The 18,148-nt window shown below is 39.8% G+C and overlaps 1 long non-coding RNA gene across 3 annotated transcripts in view; it reads left to right on the forward strand.

Annotated features, from left to right (window-relative positions):
• The window catches only part of LOC105370019 (uncharacterized), a 48,831-nt gene that overhangs the window by 19,012 nt on the left and 11,671 nt on the right, over nt 1-18,148 (forward strand). The window contains exons 3-5 of one of the 3 annotated variants that reach the window (XR_945424.1): nt 8,861-9,006; nt 9,655-9,771; nt 16,262-16,494. This is a non-coding gene — a long non-coding RNA (uncharacterized LOC105370019). Of the gene's footprint in view, nt 1-8,860; nt 9,007-9,654; nt 9,772-11,343; nt 11,511-16,261; nt 16,495-18,148 lie in introns of those variants that run through there. The other 2 variants (XR_945425.3, XR_945423.3) reach the window with 2 other exon arrangements.

The raw sequence follows: 18,148 nt of genomic DNA on the forward strand, positions 1-18,148 counted from the left end.
CTTGATAAATGTCCGTTTAAACCACAAATAGATGAATAGATAGATGTATGAGGGTGGATGGATTTAATACATAGAAGCAAGAATGAGAAAATCATTGAAAAATGGACAAATAAGTGAGTGGATATTTGAATGAATAAATGACTGAAACAATGAGGAGAGAAGGATTTAATAATTAATTTATGAATAATAAAAAAACTTTTATTGAGGTCTTTCTAAGTCCCAGATACTCTGCTAAGCAATGTACATGCATTATCTCATTTAATCCTTACAAGAACCCTATAAAATAGACACCATTGTCATTCCTATTTTATAAAGGGAAACTGAGGCAGAGAGAAGTAAAATAATTTACCCAAGATCACACATCTGGGAGTAATGGTGCCAGCATCCCAATGAATGCTTTTGTTTCTGTCCTTAACCACTGTGGTACCCTGTTGTCTTAGTCTGTTTGGCTGTTGTAAGAAAATACCATCAACTGCATAGCTTATCAAGGACAGAAGTTAATTTCTCACAGTTATACAAGCTGAAAAGTCCAAGTTGACAGTGCCAGCATGGTTGAGTTCTTGTGAGGGTCCTTTTCTGGGTTGCAGACTTACTTCTTACTGTCTAGAAGCAAGACCACTACCCTCACGTGGTGAAAGGGGTAATTTCCCTTGGGCCTATTTTGTAACGGCACAAATCCCATTCATGATGACTCTATCCTCATCATCTAATCACATCCCAAAGGCCCCACCTCTTAACACCACCGCACTGGGGATTAGGTTTCAATGTATGAATACTGGCGGGACAGAGATATTCAGACCATAGCAACTGTGGACCAGAAATATGTGGATTTATTTTACTCCTTGGATAGCTGTTGGTCCCAGCACCTCAAGCCAGCTTAGAGATTCATTCATACATTCCACAGATATATATTGAGCACTTACCATATTCCAAGTCCTCTTCTAAGCACCAGGGATACATCAGCGAACAAGCAGACATGGGTCCTCCATACATAGCTTACGCTTCCATAGGGAAGACTGAAAATGAACAAATACGTAGAAGTAAATGCTATGCAGAAAAACAAATCATGCAAAGAATTATAGGAAAGAGGTGTAGAGGGAAGCTATTTTAGATACAGTGGTCAGGAAACATCTTGCAGAGGAGGTACAAAGACCTGAATTATGCAAAGATCAGAGGTGAGGGCATTCCAGGCAAAGAGCACAGAAAGTGCAAAGGTGCCGAGGTAGAAATGAGCATAGAAGGTCTGAAGACTAGGAAGGAGGATGGCATGGTTGGACTGGTGTAAGCAAAAGGGGGTGTGATAGGACATACAGAGAGGGAGACAGGTGCTAGACCTTTATCCTGGATTTTATAGGTCAAGATTTAAAAAATGGACTTTGTTTTAAAGGAGATACAGTGTCTGAATTACATTGTAAAATATCACTGTGGCTGCTGTGGGTTGTTCCATTACTTTTGTCCTCAACCCAGAAAAACAATGGTATAAGAATAAAGAGCACTAGTTTGTCCTACTCTAAATGATTCCCCTCCTCTCCCTTCCTTCTTGGAACCCCATCTGCCATTGACACTACTACCAGTTGGTACCAGCACATTTACTGCAAGCCATCCTCTTCTTGTGCTCTGTCTTCTCCTGGGGATCCTGGGCCTTGCTACTCATCCCAAAGACCCAGTCACCAGAAAAGTAAAATGGCAGCAATGTATATATCCAACAATAGGGGATTGGTTATGCAAATCTATTTACTATAACACTTTTGACCGTCAAAAATGATGTCGGGACAATGACAGGATCAAATCTGTCCATACCAATATTAACCTTGAATGTATATGGGCCAAACACTCTACTTAAAAGGTACATAGTGGCAAGTTGGATAAAGAAGCAAGAACCAACTGTATGCTGTCTTCAAGAGACTTTTCTCACATGCAGTGACACCCATAGGCTTAAAGTAAAGGGATGGAGAAAAATCCACAAAGCAAATGGAAAATAAAAAAGGAATAGGAGTTGCTATTCTAATTTTAGACAAAACAGACTAAACCAACAACAACAACAACAAAAAGAAGGGCGTTACATAATGATAAAAGGTTCAATTCAACAAGAAGACTTAACTATCCTAAATATATATGCACCCAACACTAGAGCACCCAGATTCATAAAACAAGTTCTTAGAGATCTATGAAGAGGCTTAGATAGCCACACAATAATAATGGCAAACTTCAACACCCCACTGACAGTATTAGACAGATCATCAAGGCAGAAAACTAACAAAGATATTCAGGACTTTTAATGCTTGACCAAATGGACCTAACAGACATTGATAGAACACTTCACCGAATAACAACAGAATATACTTTCTTCTTATCTGCACATGGCACATACTCTAAAACCGACCACACAATGGGACAAAAAACAATTCTCAACAAATTAAAAAAAAGTCATATTAATCACACTCTGGGATCATAGTACAATAAAAATAGAAATCAATACTAAGAAGATCTCTCAAAAACCATGCAATTACATGGAAATTAAGCAATCTGTTTCTGAATGCCTTTTGAGTAAACAATGAAATTAAGACAGAAATCAAAAAATTATTTGAAAGCAATGAAAACAAAGATAAAACATATTAGAATCTCTGGGACAAAGTTAAAGCAGTGTTAAGAGGAAAGTTCATAGCACTACACACCCACATCAAAAAGTTAGAAAGATCTCAAATTAACAACCTAAAGTCACACTTAGAGGAACTAGAAAAACAAGAGCAAACCAACCCCAAAGCCAGAAGAAGAAAATAAATAACCAAAATCAGAGCTGAACTGACTGAAATTGAGATATGAAAAACCATAAAAAAGATCAATGAAACCAATAGTTTGTTTTTGACAGAATAAATAAGATTGATAGACTATTAGCTAGACTAATAAAGAAAAAAAGAGCAATCCAAATCAACACAATCAGAAATGACAAATGAGACATTACTACCAATACCTCAGAAATACAAAAAAAATCCTCAGAGACTATTATGAACACCTCTATGCAACTTACGTAGAAAAACTGGAAGAAAGAGATAAATTCCTGGAAAAATAACCTCCCAAGGTTGAACTAGAAAGAAATTGAAACCCTAAACAGACCAATAAGAAGCTCTGAAAGTGAATTCATAATAAAAAGCCTACCAAGCAGAAAAAGCTCTGGAGCAGATGAATTCACAGCTGAATTCTACCAGATGTATAAAGAAGACCTGGTACCAATCTTACTGAAACTATTCCAAAAAAGTGAGAAAGAGGGACTCCTCCCTAACTCATTATATGAGGCCAGCATCATTCTGATATTAAAACCCAGCAGATTCTGGATATTAGACCTTTGTCAGAGGAACTTAAACAAATTTACAAGAGAAAAAACATTAAAAAGTGGGCAAAGGACATGAACAGACACTTCTCAAAAGACATTCGTGTGGACAGCAAACCTATGAAAAAAGCTCAACACCACAGATTATTAGAGAAATGCAAATCAAAACCACAGTAAGATACCATCTCAAACCAGTCAGAATGGCAATTTTTAAAAAGTCAAGAAACAATAGATACAGGCAAGGTTGTAGAGAAATAGGAATGCTTTTACACTGTTGGTGGGAATGTGTATTAGTTCAACCATTGCAGAAGATGGTGTGATGATTCCTCAAAGGTCTAGAACCAGAAAAACCACTTGACCGAGATATCTGATTACTGGGTATATACGCAAAAGAATATAAATCATTCTATTATAAAGATACATGCACGTGAATGTTCAGTGCAGCACTATTCACAATAGCAAAGACATGGAATCAACTCAAATGCCCTTCAATGATAGACAATGGTACAAATATGCCATGGAATACTATGCAGTCATAAAAAGGAAAGAGACCATGTCCTTTACAGGGACATGGAAGGAGCTGGAAGCCATTATTCTCAGCAAACTAATGCAGGAACAGAAAATCAAACACTGCATGTTCTCACTTGTAAGTGGGAGCTGAACAATGAGAACACACAGACACAGGGAAAGGAACAACACACACTGGGACCTTTTGGGGGATGGAGTGGGGGAAGGGAGAACATTAGGAAAAATAGCTAAAGTGTGCTGGGCTTGATACCTAAGTGATGGGTTTATAGGTGCAGCAAACCACCATGGCACAAGTTTACCTATGTAAAAAACCTATACATCCTGCACATGTACCCCAGAACTTAAAAAAAAAAACCTGGCAGAGACACAATAAAAAAAAAGAAAACTTCAGGCCAACATCCCTGATGAACATAGATGCAAAAATCCTCAACAAAACACTAGCAAACTGAATATAGCAGCACTTCAAAAAGCTAATCCATTACGATTAAGTAGGCTTTATTCCTGGGATGCAAGGTTGGTTCAATATATGCAAATCAGTAAATGTGAATCGTCATATAAACAGAACTAACAAGGAAAACCACATGATCATTTCAATAGATGCAGAAAAGACTTTTGATAAAATTCAACATTCCTTCATGTTAAAAACCCTCAACAAACTAGGCATTGAAGGAACATACCTCAAAATAGTAAGAGCCATCTATGACAAGGCCATAGCCAGCATCAAACTGAATGGCAAAAGGTGGAAGCATTCCCCTTGAGAACTATAATAAGACAACAATGCTTATTCTCATCACTCCTTTTCAACGTAGAACTGAAAGTCCTAGTCAGAGTAATCAGGCAAGAGAAAGAAATAAAAGGCATCCAAATAGCAAGGGAAGAAGGCAAACTATCTCTCTTCATAGATGATATGATTTGATACCTAGAAAATCCCATCGTTTTTGCCCAAACTTGTAGATCTGATAAACAACTTCAGCAAAGTTTCAGCATACAAAATCAATGTACAAAAATCAGTAGCATTCCTATACACTAACAATTTCCAAGCTGAGAGCCAAATCAAAAATGCAATCCCATTCACAATAGATGCACACACACACACACACACACACAACCTAGGAATAGAGCTAACCAGGAAGGTGAAAGATCTCTGCAACAAGAATTACAAAACACTGCTAAAGAACTCAGAGATGACACAAATGGAAAAACATTCCATGCTCATGGATAGGAAGAATCAATATTGTTAAAACAACCATACCGGCCAAAGCAATTTACAAATCCAATGCTACTCGTATCAAACTACGAATGACATTTTTCACAGAATCAGAAAAAGCTATTATAAAATTCATATTGAACTAAAAAAGGGACCAAATAGTCAATGCAATCTTAAGTAAATTGAAAAAAGCTGTAGGCATCACATTAGCCCACTTCAAATTGTACTACAGTAACCAAAACAGCATGGTACTGGTACAAAAACAGAAACATAGAACAATGGAACAAAACAGAGAACCCAGAGATAAAGCCTGTTGATCTTCAACAAAGTTGACAAAAACAAGCAATGGGGAAAGGACTCCCATTCAATAAATGGTGCTGGGATAACTGGCTAGCCATATGCAGGAGATTAAAACTGGACCCCTTCCTTTCACCATATACAAAAATCAACTCAAGGTGGATTAAATACTTAAATGTAAAACCTGTAATTATAAAGACCCTAGAAGAAAACCTAGGAAATAACATTCTGGACATAGGTCCTGGCAAAGATTTCAAGACGAACATGCCAAAAGCAATTGCAACAAAAACAAAAATTGACAAATGGGATCTAATTAAACTGAAGAGCTCCTGCACAGCAAAAGAAACTATCCACAGAGTAAACAGACAACCTACAGAATGGGAGAAAATATTTGCAAGCTATGCATCGACAAAGGTCTAATATCCACAATCTATAAGGAACCTAAACATATTAACAAGCAAAAAGCAAACAACTCCATTAAAAAGTAGACAAAGGACATAAACAGACACTTTTCAAAAGGAGATGTACATGCAGCCAACAACCATATGAAAAAATGCTCAATATCACTAATCATTAGAGAAGCGCAAATCAAAACCACAATGAGATACCATCTCACACCAGTCAGAATGGCTATTATTCAAAAGTAAAAAAATAATAATAATAACAGATGCTGGCAAGATTGCCAAGAAAAGGGAATACTTCTACTCTGCTGGTGGGAATGTAAATTAGTTCAGCTACTATGGAAAGCAATTTGGATATTTTTCAAGAAACTTAAAACAAAACTACTATTTGGCCCAGCAATTCCATTGCTGTGTGTATACCCAAAGGAATATAAATTATTCTACCATAAAAGCACATGTATGCATATGTTCATCACAGCACTATCCACAATAGCAAAGACATAAAATCAACCTAAGTACCCATCAACAGAGGACTGGGTAAAGAAAATGTGATACATATACACCATGGAATAACTATGCAGCCATAAAAAAGAATGAGATCACGTCCTTTGCAACAACATGGATGGAGCTGGAGGCCATTATCCTAAATGAATTAATGCAGGTACAGAAAACCAAATACCACATGTCCTCATGTATAAGTGGGAGCCAAACACTGACTACACGTGAAGAAGTTGATAATAAACAGCACGATCTACATGAGAATGTAGGGTGGGAGAAGGATGATAATCCGAAAGCTACCTATCAGGTACTATGCTTATTACCTGGGTAACAAAATAATCTGTAGACCAAACCTCTGTGACATGCAATTTACCTACAAAACAAACAAACCTGCACATGTACCTCCTGAACCTAAAATAAAAGCTGGAAAGAAAAAAATGATTGCTGATGTTATATCAATATTATATATTATAATACCAACAATAGTGATAGCTACTTGAACATCTATTGTGCACCGAGATCAGTATTAATAATGAACATATTTTACTTCATTTAATCCTCTTGACACAGAGAGATCAATTCCACTTTTGTCCTTGGTTTATAGATGAGGAATTTAGGGCTTAAGCGTCTTGCCAAAAGTTGCCAACTTAGCGTGGAGTTCAGTAAGAGTAAGTTGCAGGTCTGTCTGATTACAAAGTCCGTTTTCTCAACCAATGCCAATTCTGCCTCTCATAGGAATATGTGCTGCATTGTTCAGTGAAGGCTGGCTATTAAATAATAAGCATAGCTTTCAAGCCCATCTTTTTAAGTACCAAAAGGTCATGCAGCTAAATGTAAAAAGTTGTTTTCTCTGGGCAGTTAATTATGGGAGAGTTTTGTGTGTGTTTATGATTTTTGTAATTAGAGCTCAACAAAAGCAATAAAAGTCTCTGTGTGTTTTTCTTCCCTACTCAACCCCTCTATCTTTCTCCCCTGTGGCCTTCAGACCAGCTCTGGAGTTCTCTATTAATATAAAGCTAGCATGGCCTCTTCCCCTTGGCCTCCCGGCTTTGCAATTTCAGCACAGTTCTCTAGATTGCTTCAAATTTGCTAGCATTCTGGATGCTGAGTTAGTTGCAAATTTTTCACCTCCAGAAACAGAAGTGTTGTTTCTTAGCTAAGGGCTTGAATAATACATTTGCAAAAAAGCCAGGTCTCTAACATTTTGCCATTTAGGGTATGGACTTGGTAATGGCCTCAGCTCCTGGAGTCAGGGCCAGGGGTCTTTGGTGACAAGAAAAAGACTTAATCTGCTCATAAGAGGCTGGACTTGGAGAATAACTGGAAGTGAGTGAGAATCTGTTGCCAACACTGAGACCAAAAATGGTCCATTCTCAAACAGCATCTCAGGGGGGTGGGGATTTATCTGAGTTTATCCTGTATTTGGAGGTAATTCCAGTGGGAGCTAACTCCTGGGCTCTGATATTCATGCATGCATTCATTCACAAAGGCAATATATATTGGGCACTGACTCTCTCCCACACTTTGCTAAATGTTGAAAAGTCAGCAGTCAGGAAGAACGACCCATTCTCACCTCTGTGGAGTTCACAGACTTGGAATTCATGGGGAAGACAAACACTGAACAAATGTTCAAATGTTTAAATGTAACAGAAGGTGGAAATGCAGGCTGCTATGGAAGAGAGTTAGCTGAGCCTGAGAATTTAGGAAAGACAGCCCCAGGAAATGATGTTTAAGTGGAGTGTGGAAGGATGCTTAGGAATTAACCAAGTGAAGAATGAAGCAAGAGAGTGTTTCAGGCTGAGGGGGTGACATTGCAGGACGTGAGATTGGGGAAAAGCAGGTGCTATCATCTGTCTGAAGGAATGTATGATGCACAGATGCAAGGCAGAGAGAGGTGTGAGCGGGCTGAAGGGGAACCTCGAGCAGACACAGAGGGTCCAATAAACCACATCAAAATGTTTGTATGCTATCCTAGGGATGATGAGAAAAATGCTGCTGATAGATTTAACTGGGGGAAAAAGTTTTATTTTTAGGTGTCTTCACAAGTGAAGGCAATTAGAACTGAGAATGAAATGACTTCTTTGTGATAGAAGATGCATTTGTGCTAATACATTGTCCTTTCATTCAACAAATATTTATGCAATGTCTACCACAAAACAGGCACAGTCCTGGATTTTGGGGAAATGGAGGGGAAACAGATTTCTAACTACATGAAGCTTACAGTCTAGTGGAAAGAGACAGGCAGTAAACAAAAGAACAAAAGAGTAGATAATGTAATACTGGGCGTCACTAAGAGTAATGAAGAAAGGAGAGTAAGAGGGAGGAATCATGTGGAAATCTGGGGAGGTGGGATGAGTGATGATATTCCTAGTAGGTGGTCAAAGACATCCTTCAGAAGTTATCATTTGAGCAGGGAACTGAAGGATGCGAGGGAATGAGTCAGACCTCTTTCGACAGAGTTTATGATGTGGTCTCCCCGTTATGAGCTTTTTGGGTGGCCAGCTATCTTTGGGAGGCAGGTGGGGCTTTGGAACAGTGAGGGATGCTGGCATTCCCTCCGTCAGCCGAACCCACAACCTTGTACCTTTAACCTTGGTACAGGAGAGGAGGAACAGGAGGAGGAGAGTGAGAGAAACTGATTGCCAACCTTAGTCCAGTGAAAACTTTGCTCCGATAATATTTCCTTGGCCTGACCAATCCAGATCAACAATCCTCTTCTTTGGTGATTGAATAAGGGAAGAAGCTCTGTGAGTAAGACTAAACAAATTTACTTCTACTTTTGGCTTTTTTTTTTTCCCTATTAACCAACATTTCTTATCAACCAGGCACCCTGAGGAAGACCCAGGCCTACCACTCCACAAATGAGATGTCCAACCCCAGAATTCACAGCCCATTCTGAGCTGCCTCCCCATGACTACTTAATGGCTGCTTCGGCCTCATTTCCTGATCACTAGTTGCTATACTGGATGTTTGTAGTTACTGACCTTTTTATTGAAAAACAGAGACTAGCCTGATCAAACTTGGGGCAGAACTGACACTGCTGCCCAAGCAAATTATAGCAATGTATCGCTGAGATGAAAATCTCCTGGTGATATAACAGGCATCTATTAGGGAGCCCGAGTTAGAGCTTTGCTCATTAATCAGAGCCTCCTGATAAAGTCTGCCACAGCCAGAGCGGTGTGTCCTTTCTTTCTTTTTAAAGATATAAAACACTATCATTGTCTTTATTGATCTCTACTACTATTATTGTCAGAATATACTCTTTCAAAGTCATCACCTGCAGCTTCCCTTCATACAGCCTGTCCTTCAGCCTTGTATGCAGAGAGGGTAGTGGGAAAGAGTAAAGGTTTGATGTCCGGTGTTTGGTGTTTAAACCACCGCTCTTTGACTTACAGGCTGGGTGACCTTGAACACATCACTTCACTTCCTTGAGCTTCAATATACCTGCCATCAAATGGGAACAATCATGTTTACCTCCCTGAATAGTCAAGAGGATTAAATTAAATAGTGAGGTAGGTGCTTCCTACAAATGGCTCCTCAAAAATGTAGCACATAAAAATGACTTATAGCATCTTTTAGAGTTCAGATTCATGAGCTCTATCAACAGAGACTCTGACCCAGTAGGCTAGGGATGCTTATCCCCAGGTGATTTTGTGCGAAGAGTTTTTTTAGGATACACTTGGAAAAACATTGTTCTATCATTTTGTTTTGCTGAAAATTTTCTCCTACTATTTCCTCAGCCTGCATTGTACAATGTTCAGCTCTGCCTTTACTTCCAGACCCACCTTTGATGCCTCCTCTTTCATAATTTCCCACCTCCTTTCCCAATTTCCCTAGATTTGAAGGCATTTGTCTTTCCTCTGACTGCCCACACAAGTATCTCTCTTCTGATTATGTACCTCTTATTATAGGTTATAGACTAAACGTTATCTGTTAGAAACATGAAAGTAATGCAGATATACTAGATATACATTATTCACTATGTATTACTTTCGCAGTAAAGCAGATTAACACACAATATTGTAATAGAGATAGATAGCATATTTTATAGATATCTTCCTTCATGCACTCAACTATTTTTTGAGCATGTACCGTGTGCCAGGCACTGAGCTAGCTACTGGGGATAGAGTAGCTAGGCACCGCTAGGATCTAAGCATGGAACCTAGAATCTATTTATCTCTCCTTCCCTAGATTGAAAGCTCTTCGTAAGTTCCTCAGCTTCTAAACCCCTTTATAATCCAGTTGCTACTGAGTAGAATAACATCAAGGTTTTTGAAGGACACAAGCTGAAGCAAAGTTTACCCATCTGTAAGATCCAACTTGTGCCTATGGGTCATGGTCAAACACTCTCTCCTTGAAATTGAGTTAAGTCTCTTTTTAGATTTTCAGGGTTTTTTTGTCGTTTTTTTTTTTTGGCAGCCAAGGCATTATCCACTCCCCTGGGTTTGTGCATTAGTCATATTTGCAGCAGCTGGACTAACATCTTTGGGCTTTTGCCATGTATTCATTGCTTCTAGCTAATTTCCTTCAGATTTGATTGCTTTTTGAAAATTCCATTTCCAAATGAGGAAGCATTATGGATTCCTCAGTGACTTCACACTATATAGACTTTCATTCATTTATTTAGTCACCCATTCACTCATTTAACAAGAACTGAATGTACACCCATCCACGTGCCTGACACTGTGCTGGCTTAAGCCTCACTGCTACAGGAGTCTAATAAATGTTGGTGGAATTAATGTTATATTGGCAAATAATCTCCATTTCTAGCTTTGGGAGTGTTGTTGTCTTTACCAGGCGGTGGGTGTGTGAATGTCATTGACCCAGTCATTTCTGTCATCTAAGCCAATGGTGCATTGACTGGCTTTGATGCACAGCTATCAAGGACATTAGAGTCTATTATCCTCAATGCACTGGGACGTGTTGTGTGCGACCAAAACGTTGATGTGCCAACAAGGGAGGAAGGGAATGCAGATTTTTACATTTGCAATAAAACTCCCATCAATCACACCACCAAGACTCAGAGCAACTGAACTAATATCTGAGCTGTGAGATTGCACTTTCTCTGATTTTCCTGTCAATAGGAAATGTTTGTGCATTCCAAATCACCGGCTGATACAAACACTCAAAGACAAGGGAGAAGGAAACATAAACAAGGAAACAGAAACATCCTGTCAACCTGCCCAAAGTGTGCTAATTACATTTAAGTCAGCACTGGGTACCAGATATATATTGGGCTCATATTCATTCCTTATTCTGCTGTAAATGTTACCCAGCTCATCAGCACAGCCCAAGAATGAACAGGTATAGCATTATTAATGAAGTCCTAATCAATGTCATCATTATCATTGTTATCATAGCAAATACTCATATAGGTTTGCCAGGTAGCCAAAAGATTACATGGGTTATTTTTAATTCCTTGAAAGCAGTCTACAGGAGATATACTATTATTATCCTCATGTTATAGATGAGGGACTGAGACACAGAGGATAAGTGACTTTCCCACATAAATGTCAAGCCTGGGATTTGCTCCCAGGTCCTTTTTTAGATACCTGAGGCAGGTGAACTTCCAACGGGATTGGCTTCTCACCAGAAAATAGCAATTGGATAGAGTGCAGGATCATTTACTTCAGCCAACTGACTTGTAAGAACAAAGCTGATAATTGGTTAATCTTGAGAAATAGATCTGAACAAAACTGGTGGCCAGATCCTCTCATAAGTGTGGGCCTGAAGCACAGGTTCCATTCCTCTGAGTTCTGAGAATCAGCCACACCGATGTGAACAAAACATAGTTCATGCCATCAAGATGCTTTTAGTCTGGTGGTGGGTGAGGGGATGAAGGGAACTCTGGGAGGAGCACCAGGTCTGTGGGGCTAGAGAAGGAGCCCTAAACCTATTCATTCAGGATTAGCAAAACCTACTATTTTGTTGTTGTTTGTTTTTTGAGATCGAGTCTCACTCTGTTGCCAGGCTGGAGTGCAGTGGCGAAATCTCGGCTCACTGCAACCTCTGTTTCCTGGGTTCAAGGGATTCTCCTTCCTCAGCCTCCAGAGCAGTTGGGATTACAGGCGCCCACCACCACACCCAGCTAATTTTTGTATTTTTAGTCGAGACAGGGTTTCACCATGTTGGACAGGATGGTCTTGATCTCCTGACCTCGTGATCCGCCCGCCTTGACCTTCCAAAGTGAAAACCTACTGTTTTAAGGATAATCTTACTGTAAGGGCAAGTTTGGTTTTTTTCTTTCTTTTTTTTTTATACTTTAAGTTCTAGAGTATATGTGCACAATGTACAGGTTTGTTACATAGGTATACATATGCCATGTTGGTTTGCTGCATCCATTAACTCGTCATTTACATTAGGTATTTCTCCTAATGCTATCCCTCCCCCAGCCCCCCACCCTACAACAGGCTCCAGTATGTGATGTTCCCTGCCCTGTGTCCAAGTGTTCTCATTGTTCAATTCCCAGCTATGAGTGAGAACATGAGGTGTTTGGTTTTCTGTCCTTGTGATAGTTTGCTCAGAATGATGGTTTCCAGCTTCATCCATGTCCCTGCAAAGGACATGAACTCATCCTTTTTCATGGCTGCATAGTATTCCATGGTGTATATGTGCCACATTTCTTACTCCAGTCTATCATTGATGGACATTTGGGTTGGTTCCAAGTCTTTGCTATTGTGAATAGTGCCACAATAAACACACGTGTGCATGTGTCTTTGTAGTAGCATGATTTATAATCCTTTGGATATATACCCAGTAATGGGATGGCTGGGTCCAATGGTATTTCTAGTTCTAGATCGTTGGGGAATTGCCACACTGTCTTCCACAATGGCTGAACTAGTTTACACTCCCACTAACAATGGAAAAGCGTTCCTATTTCTCCACATCCTCTCCAGCATCTGTTGTTTCCTGACTTTTTAATGATCGCCATTCTAACTGGTGTGAGATGGTATCTCACTGTGGTTTTGATTTGCATTTCTCTGATGACCAGTGATGATGAGCATTTTTTCATGTATCCATTGGCTGCATAGATGTCTTCTTTTGAGAAGTGTCTGTTCATAACCCTTGCCCACTTTTTGATGGGGTTGTTTGATTTTTTCTTGTAAATTTGTTTGAGTTCTTTGTAGATTCTGGAATTAGCCCTTTGTCAGATGAGTAGATTGCAAAAATTTTCTCCATTCTGTAGGTTGCCTGTTCACTCTGATGGTAGTTTCTTTTGCTGTGCAGAAGCTCTTTAGTTTAATTAGATCCCATTTGTCTATTTTGGCTTTTGTTGCCATTGCTTTTGGTGTTTTAGTCATGAAGTCCTTGCCCATGCCTATGTCCTGAATGTATTGCCTAGGTTTTCTTCTAGGGTTTTTATGGTTTTAGGTTTAACATTTAAGTCTTTAATCCATCTTGAATTAATTTTTGTATAAGGTGTAAGGAAGGGATCCAGGTTCAGCTTTATGCATATGGATAGCCAGTTTTCCCAGCACCATTTATTAAATAGGGAATCCTTTCCCCATTTCTTGTTTTTGTCAGGTTTGTTAAAGATCAGATGGTTGTAGATGTGTGGTGTTATTTCTGAGGACTCTGTTCTGTTCTGTTGGTCTATATCTCTGTTTTGGTACCAGTACCATGCTGTTTTGGTTACTGTAGCCTTGTAGTATAGTTTGAAGTCAGGTAGCGTGATGTCTCCAGCCTTGTTCTTTTTGCTTAGGATTATCTTGGCAATGCAGGCTCTTTTTTGGTTCCATACGAACTTTAAAGTAGTTTTCTCCAATGCTGTGAAGAAAATCTTTGGTAGCTTGATGGGAATGGCATTGAATCTATAAATTACCTTGGGCAGTATGGCCATTTTCATGATATTGATTCTTCCTATCCATGAGCATGGAATATTCTTCCACTTGTTTGTGTCCTTCTTTATTTCATTGAGCAGTGGTTTGTAATTCTTCTTGAAGAGGTCCTTCACATCTCTTGTAAGTTGTATTCCTAGGTGTTTTATTCTCCTTGTAGCAATTGTGAATGGGAGTTCACTCATGATTTGGCTGTTTGTTTGTTATTGGTGTATAGGAATGCTTGTGATTTTTGCACATCGATTTTGTATCCTGAGACTTTGCTGAAGTTGCTTATCAGCTTAATGAGATTTTGGGCTGAGATAATGGGGTTTTCTAAATATACAATCATTTCATCTGCAAACAGGGACAATTTGACTTCCTCTTTTCCTAATTGAATACCCTTTATTTCTTTCTCTTGCCTGATTGCCCTGGCCAGAACTTCCAACACTATGTTGAATAGGAGTGGTGAGAGGGGACATCCCTGTCTTGTGCCAGTTTTCAAAGGGAATACTTCCAGTTTTTGCCCATTCAATATGATATTAACTGTGGGTTTGTCATAAATAGCTCTTATTATTTTGAGATACGTCCCATCAATACCTAATTTATTGAGAGTTTTTAGCATGAATGGCTGTTGAATTTTGTCAAAGGCTTTTTCTGCATCTATTGAGATAATCATGAGGTTTTTGTTATTGATTCTGTTTATGCGATGGATTACGTTCATTGATTTGCGTATGTTGAACCAGCCTTGCATCCCAGGGATGTAGCCGACTTGATCGTGGTGGATAAGCTTTTTTGATGTGCGGCTGGATTCGGTTTGCTAGTATTTTACTGAGGATTTTCACATCAATGTTCATCAGGGATATTGGTCTAAAATTCTCTTTTTTTGGTGTGTCTCTAAGGGCAAATTATTCTTGACAGTTGTGCATTCATTAATTGCTTCTTTACATAAAGCAGTCAGGAAAAAGTTCAGAACACTAAGCGACAGTAACCTATCAGTTCAGCCTTCCCCCACCCCACTCCACGCCCCACCCAGCAAACCTTTTTATTTTCTACTGAAGGTACCATTAAGAATAACCCGTTATTACCCCATTGGTTTTTCAACTCTTTGCTCATGAGGCTCTCTTCTTACAAAATTTCAAAGGTCTAACTAAAATGAAAGCATGCCCATTTTCCTTGTCTTGCCTAGATCTTGGGAAAATGGGATGGAACAAGATTTATTCAGGTGAAACTCCTTGACCACAACCTGGTCTCTACTTCACTGCTCCTTCCCCAGGACAAATGACCTGCCTTCCACTTTGTACCCAGAATAATTGATAGTGATAAAATCCAGTTACAATTTTTTTTTTTCTGTTTGGTCAGGCTTCTCCTAGACTGTGATAGAAGTAACTAGCAAGCAAACAAAAATTTTTGTGATGTAAAACAAGATGAATTTAGTGAATAGCTCCAACGATTTTGTTTCTTCCCTTGTTGTAACTCAGGGATTATCTCATGGGCATGAGACCCCTTGTTGTAACTCAGAAATTATCTCATGGGCATGAAGTAGCCCAAATCTTTTGGTGCTGTGATCCCCAAATGGCCATTTGTATCTGTATCTGTATCTACTTACCTACAAAGGAAGGAAACCTACAAGGGAAGGAAACAATGTATCCATCTCTATGTCTACAGGGAAGTAAGCAGTAACATATAGAAAAGGCCCGGGAATAACCCAGCTGCAGAAACAGGACTGTCCAAGGGTCCCCTGACACTAATTCTTGGAGGAGGGGACATTTAGGCTGAAATATGAAGGATTAGTTAGGGAAATAGAATGCCCCAGGTAGAGACGATATGTCTGCAAAAATCTGGAGAAAGGAGTGAATCCAGTGTTTCCCAAGGTGTAACAAACGCTGGAAGGTAAAAAGCAGAACAGAAGTGCAAAGGAAGAAGGTTAGTGTAGGTAAGCAAGGGCCAGAAAATGGTGAAATTGCCTTGAAGTAAGAACCCTGATGTTAAGAGTTGCAGAGTGGAGATGGATTTGAGGAGGAAGAGTTCTGCTTTGGTGAAAGATTTCTGTTTAGGGAAAAACTCCAAGTATTTCTTATTATGTGTCCACATTTACTCATTTTATTGTCAGTTTATGATTAATGCTTTCATGTCTAAGAGAGACCATCTCACACATTCTAGTTACAGCCTAATATTTCCACAGGAATACTAACAGATGCAATTTTATCTTCAACTCCAAGTCTACGTCACTGATGCCATTTCCACTTCTCTCAACTTCATCATCAGCATTTAAAGTAACCCAGCCTGCCTGCTATTCTCTTTTCAGTCCAAGACTTTCCTAGGCACTCCCTCCTTCATCCTTCACTCCCAGTCATGGTTTTCCTCTGGGGGAGGCATTTCCTGGACAGGTTCTGTTTGGTTTTGTTGTAGACAGAGTCCCGCTCTGTTGCCCAGGCTGGAGTGCAGTGACACAATCTGGGCTCACTGCAACCTCTGCCTCTTGGGTTCAAGTAATTCTTCTGCCACAGCCTCCCAAGTAGGTGAGATTACAGGCATCTACCATCACAAGCAGCTAATTTTTGTATTTTCAGTGGAGACGGGGTTTTGCCATGTTGGTTAGGCTGGTCTTGAACTCCCCGCCTCAAGTGATCTGCCCACTTCCACCTCCCAAAGTGCTGGGATAACAGGTATGAGCCACCGCACCTGGCCCTCCTGGACAGGCCTTTGAGTTGGAGTGAATGTTTGAAGGGTACTGTCAAGAGCATGCCTGCCATCAAGTGAACACGTGAATCCTGCTCCCAAGCCACTCTTTCTCCCTCCAAGTTTTGGAGGCCATGAGGATCTCTTTCTTTGTCTAAACAAGCAGAGAGTCTTTCCTGTGGGCTTCACTCTAGTTTCCCTTGAGATTCCAAAAGGGCAGGGGAAATGTCCCTTCTGCCTGAGAGGGAGGTGGTAGTATCTTTTTTCCAATCTCATGAAGAGAAAAGAAAGATGAGTGAGAAGAAGGAGAAGAGAAGAGGAAGAGAAGAGTAGAAGGAAGAGGAGGGGGAGGAGGAACAGGCAGAGAGGGAGACATTGATTGCCAATCTCAGTCCAGTGAAACCTTTGCCCCAATAACATGTCCTTGGCTTGACCAGTCCAGGTAAACTATTCCCTTCTTTGGTGATTGAATGAGGAAGAGGAAGCTCTGTGAGTATGAATAAACAAATTTACTTCTACCTTTGGTTCTTTCTCTTATTAACCAAAATTTCTTAGGCACCCTGAGGAGAAGAAATCAATGCAGTAAGTTGGAGTGGGATAATAGATGCCCTATGTATATAGGCTTTTATAGGGCCAGGGACTCTCAGCCCTTAGGTGACAGAATACTTTAGATCCTTCAAGAAGAAATATTTATAGTCTGAATTCTTAGGGCTTTTCACATTAACCAACGACCTTCCCAGATTCTACAAAGCTGAAAAAAAAAAACTCACACTTTAAATTTGAAGACATAATTGGTTAAAGTTATTTGCAGGGGGTAGGGCACACATTAGCAAGATGTGGCCATGTTAAGTCACACCGTTTTGTGTCAATTAGTTTCACAGCTTAACAAACCACCTCTAAGCAAGCAATAGCATTTATTATTGCTTACCAGTCTGCAGGTCAACTGGGCAGTTCTACTGGTCTAAGACAAGATGAACTGATTTTGGCTGGGTTTTCTCATGAATCTGTGGTCAGGTTGCAGTCGGTGGAGGCTTGCTAGTCTAGGATGGCCTTGCTCACTTGCCTAGAAGTCGGCTGGCTGTTGGATGGTGTGAGGGGCGGTAACTGGGCTATGTATCTCCCACCATGCAGTAGAGTATGCCAAGCTTTTTACAAGAAAGTTGAAATGTGCATGTTTTCAGCCTTTTGAGCCCTAACCTTGGAACTTGCATGCATTCACTTCTGATATCTTCTTTTTAGCCAAAACAAGTCATTAGCCTAGCCCATATCAAGGATTGGAAAAGAGTTTTTGCCTCTTGATGAGAGGAGCTGTTAGGTCATTGTGCAAGAGGTGTGCAGAGAGGGATGAAAAGTTGCAGATATTTTTGCAATGAATCTCCTTCAGGCCTTA

Source organism: Homo sapiens, chromosome 12 (genome assembly GCF_000001405.40).
Source record: "Homo sapiens chromosome 12, GRCh38.p14 Primary Assembly".
Taxonomy (NCBI): Eukaryota; Metazoa; Chordata; class Mammalia; order Primates; family Hominidae; genus Homo; species Homo sapiens.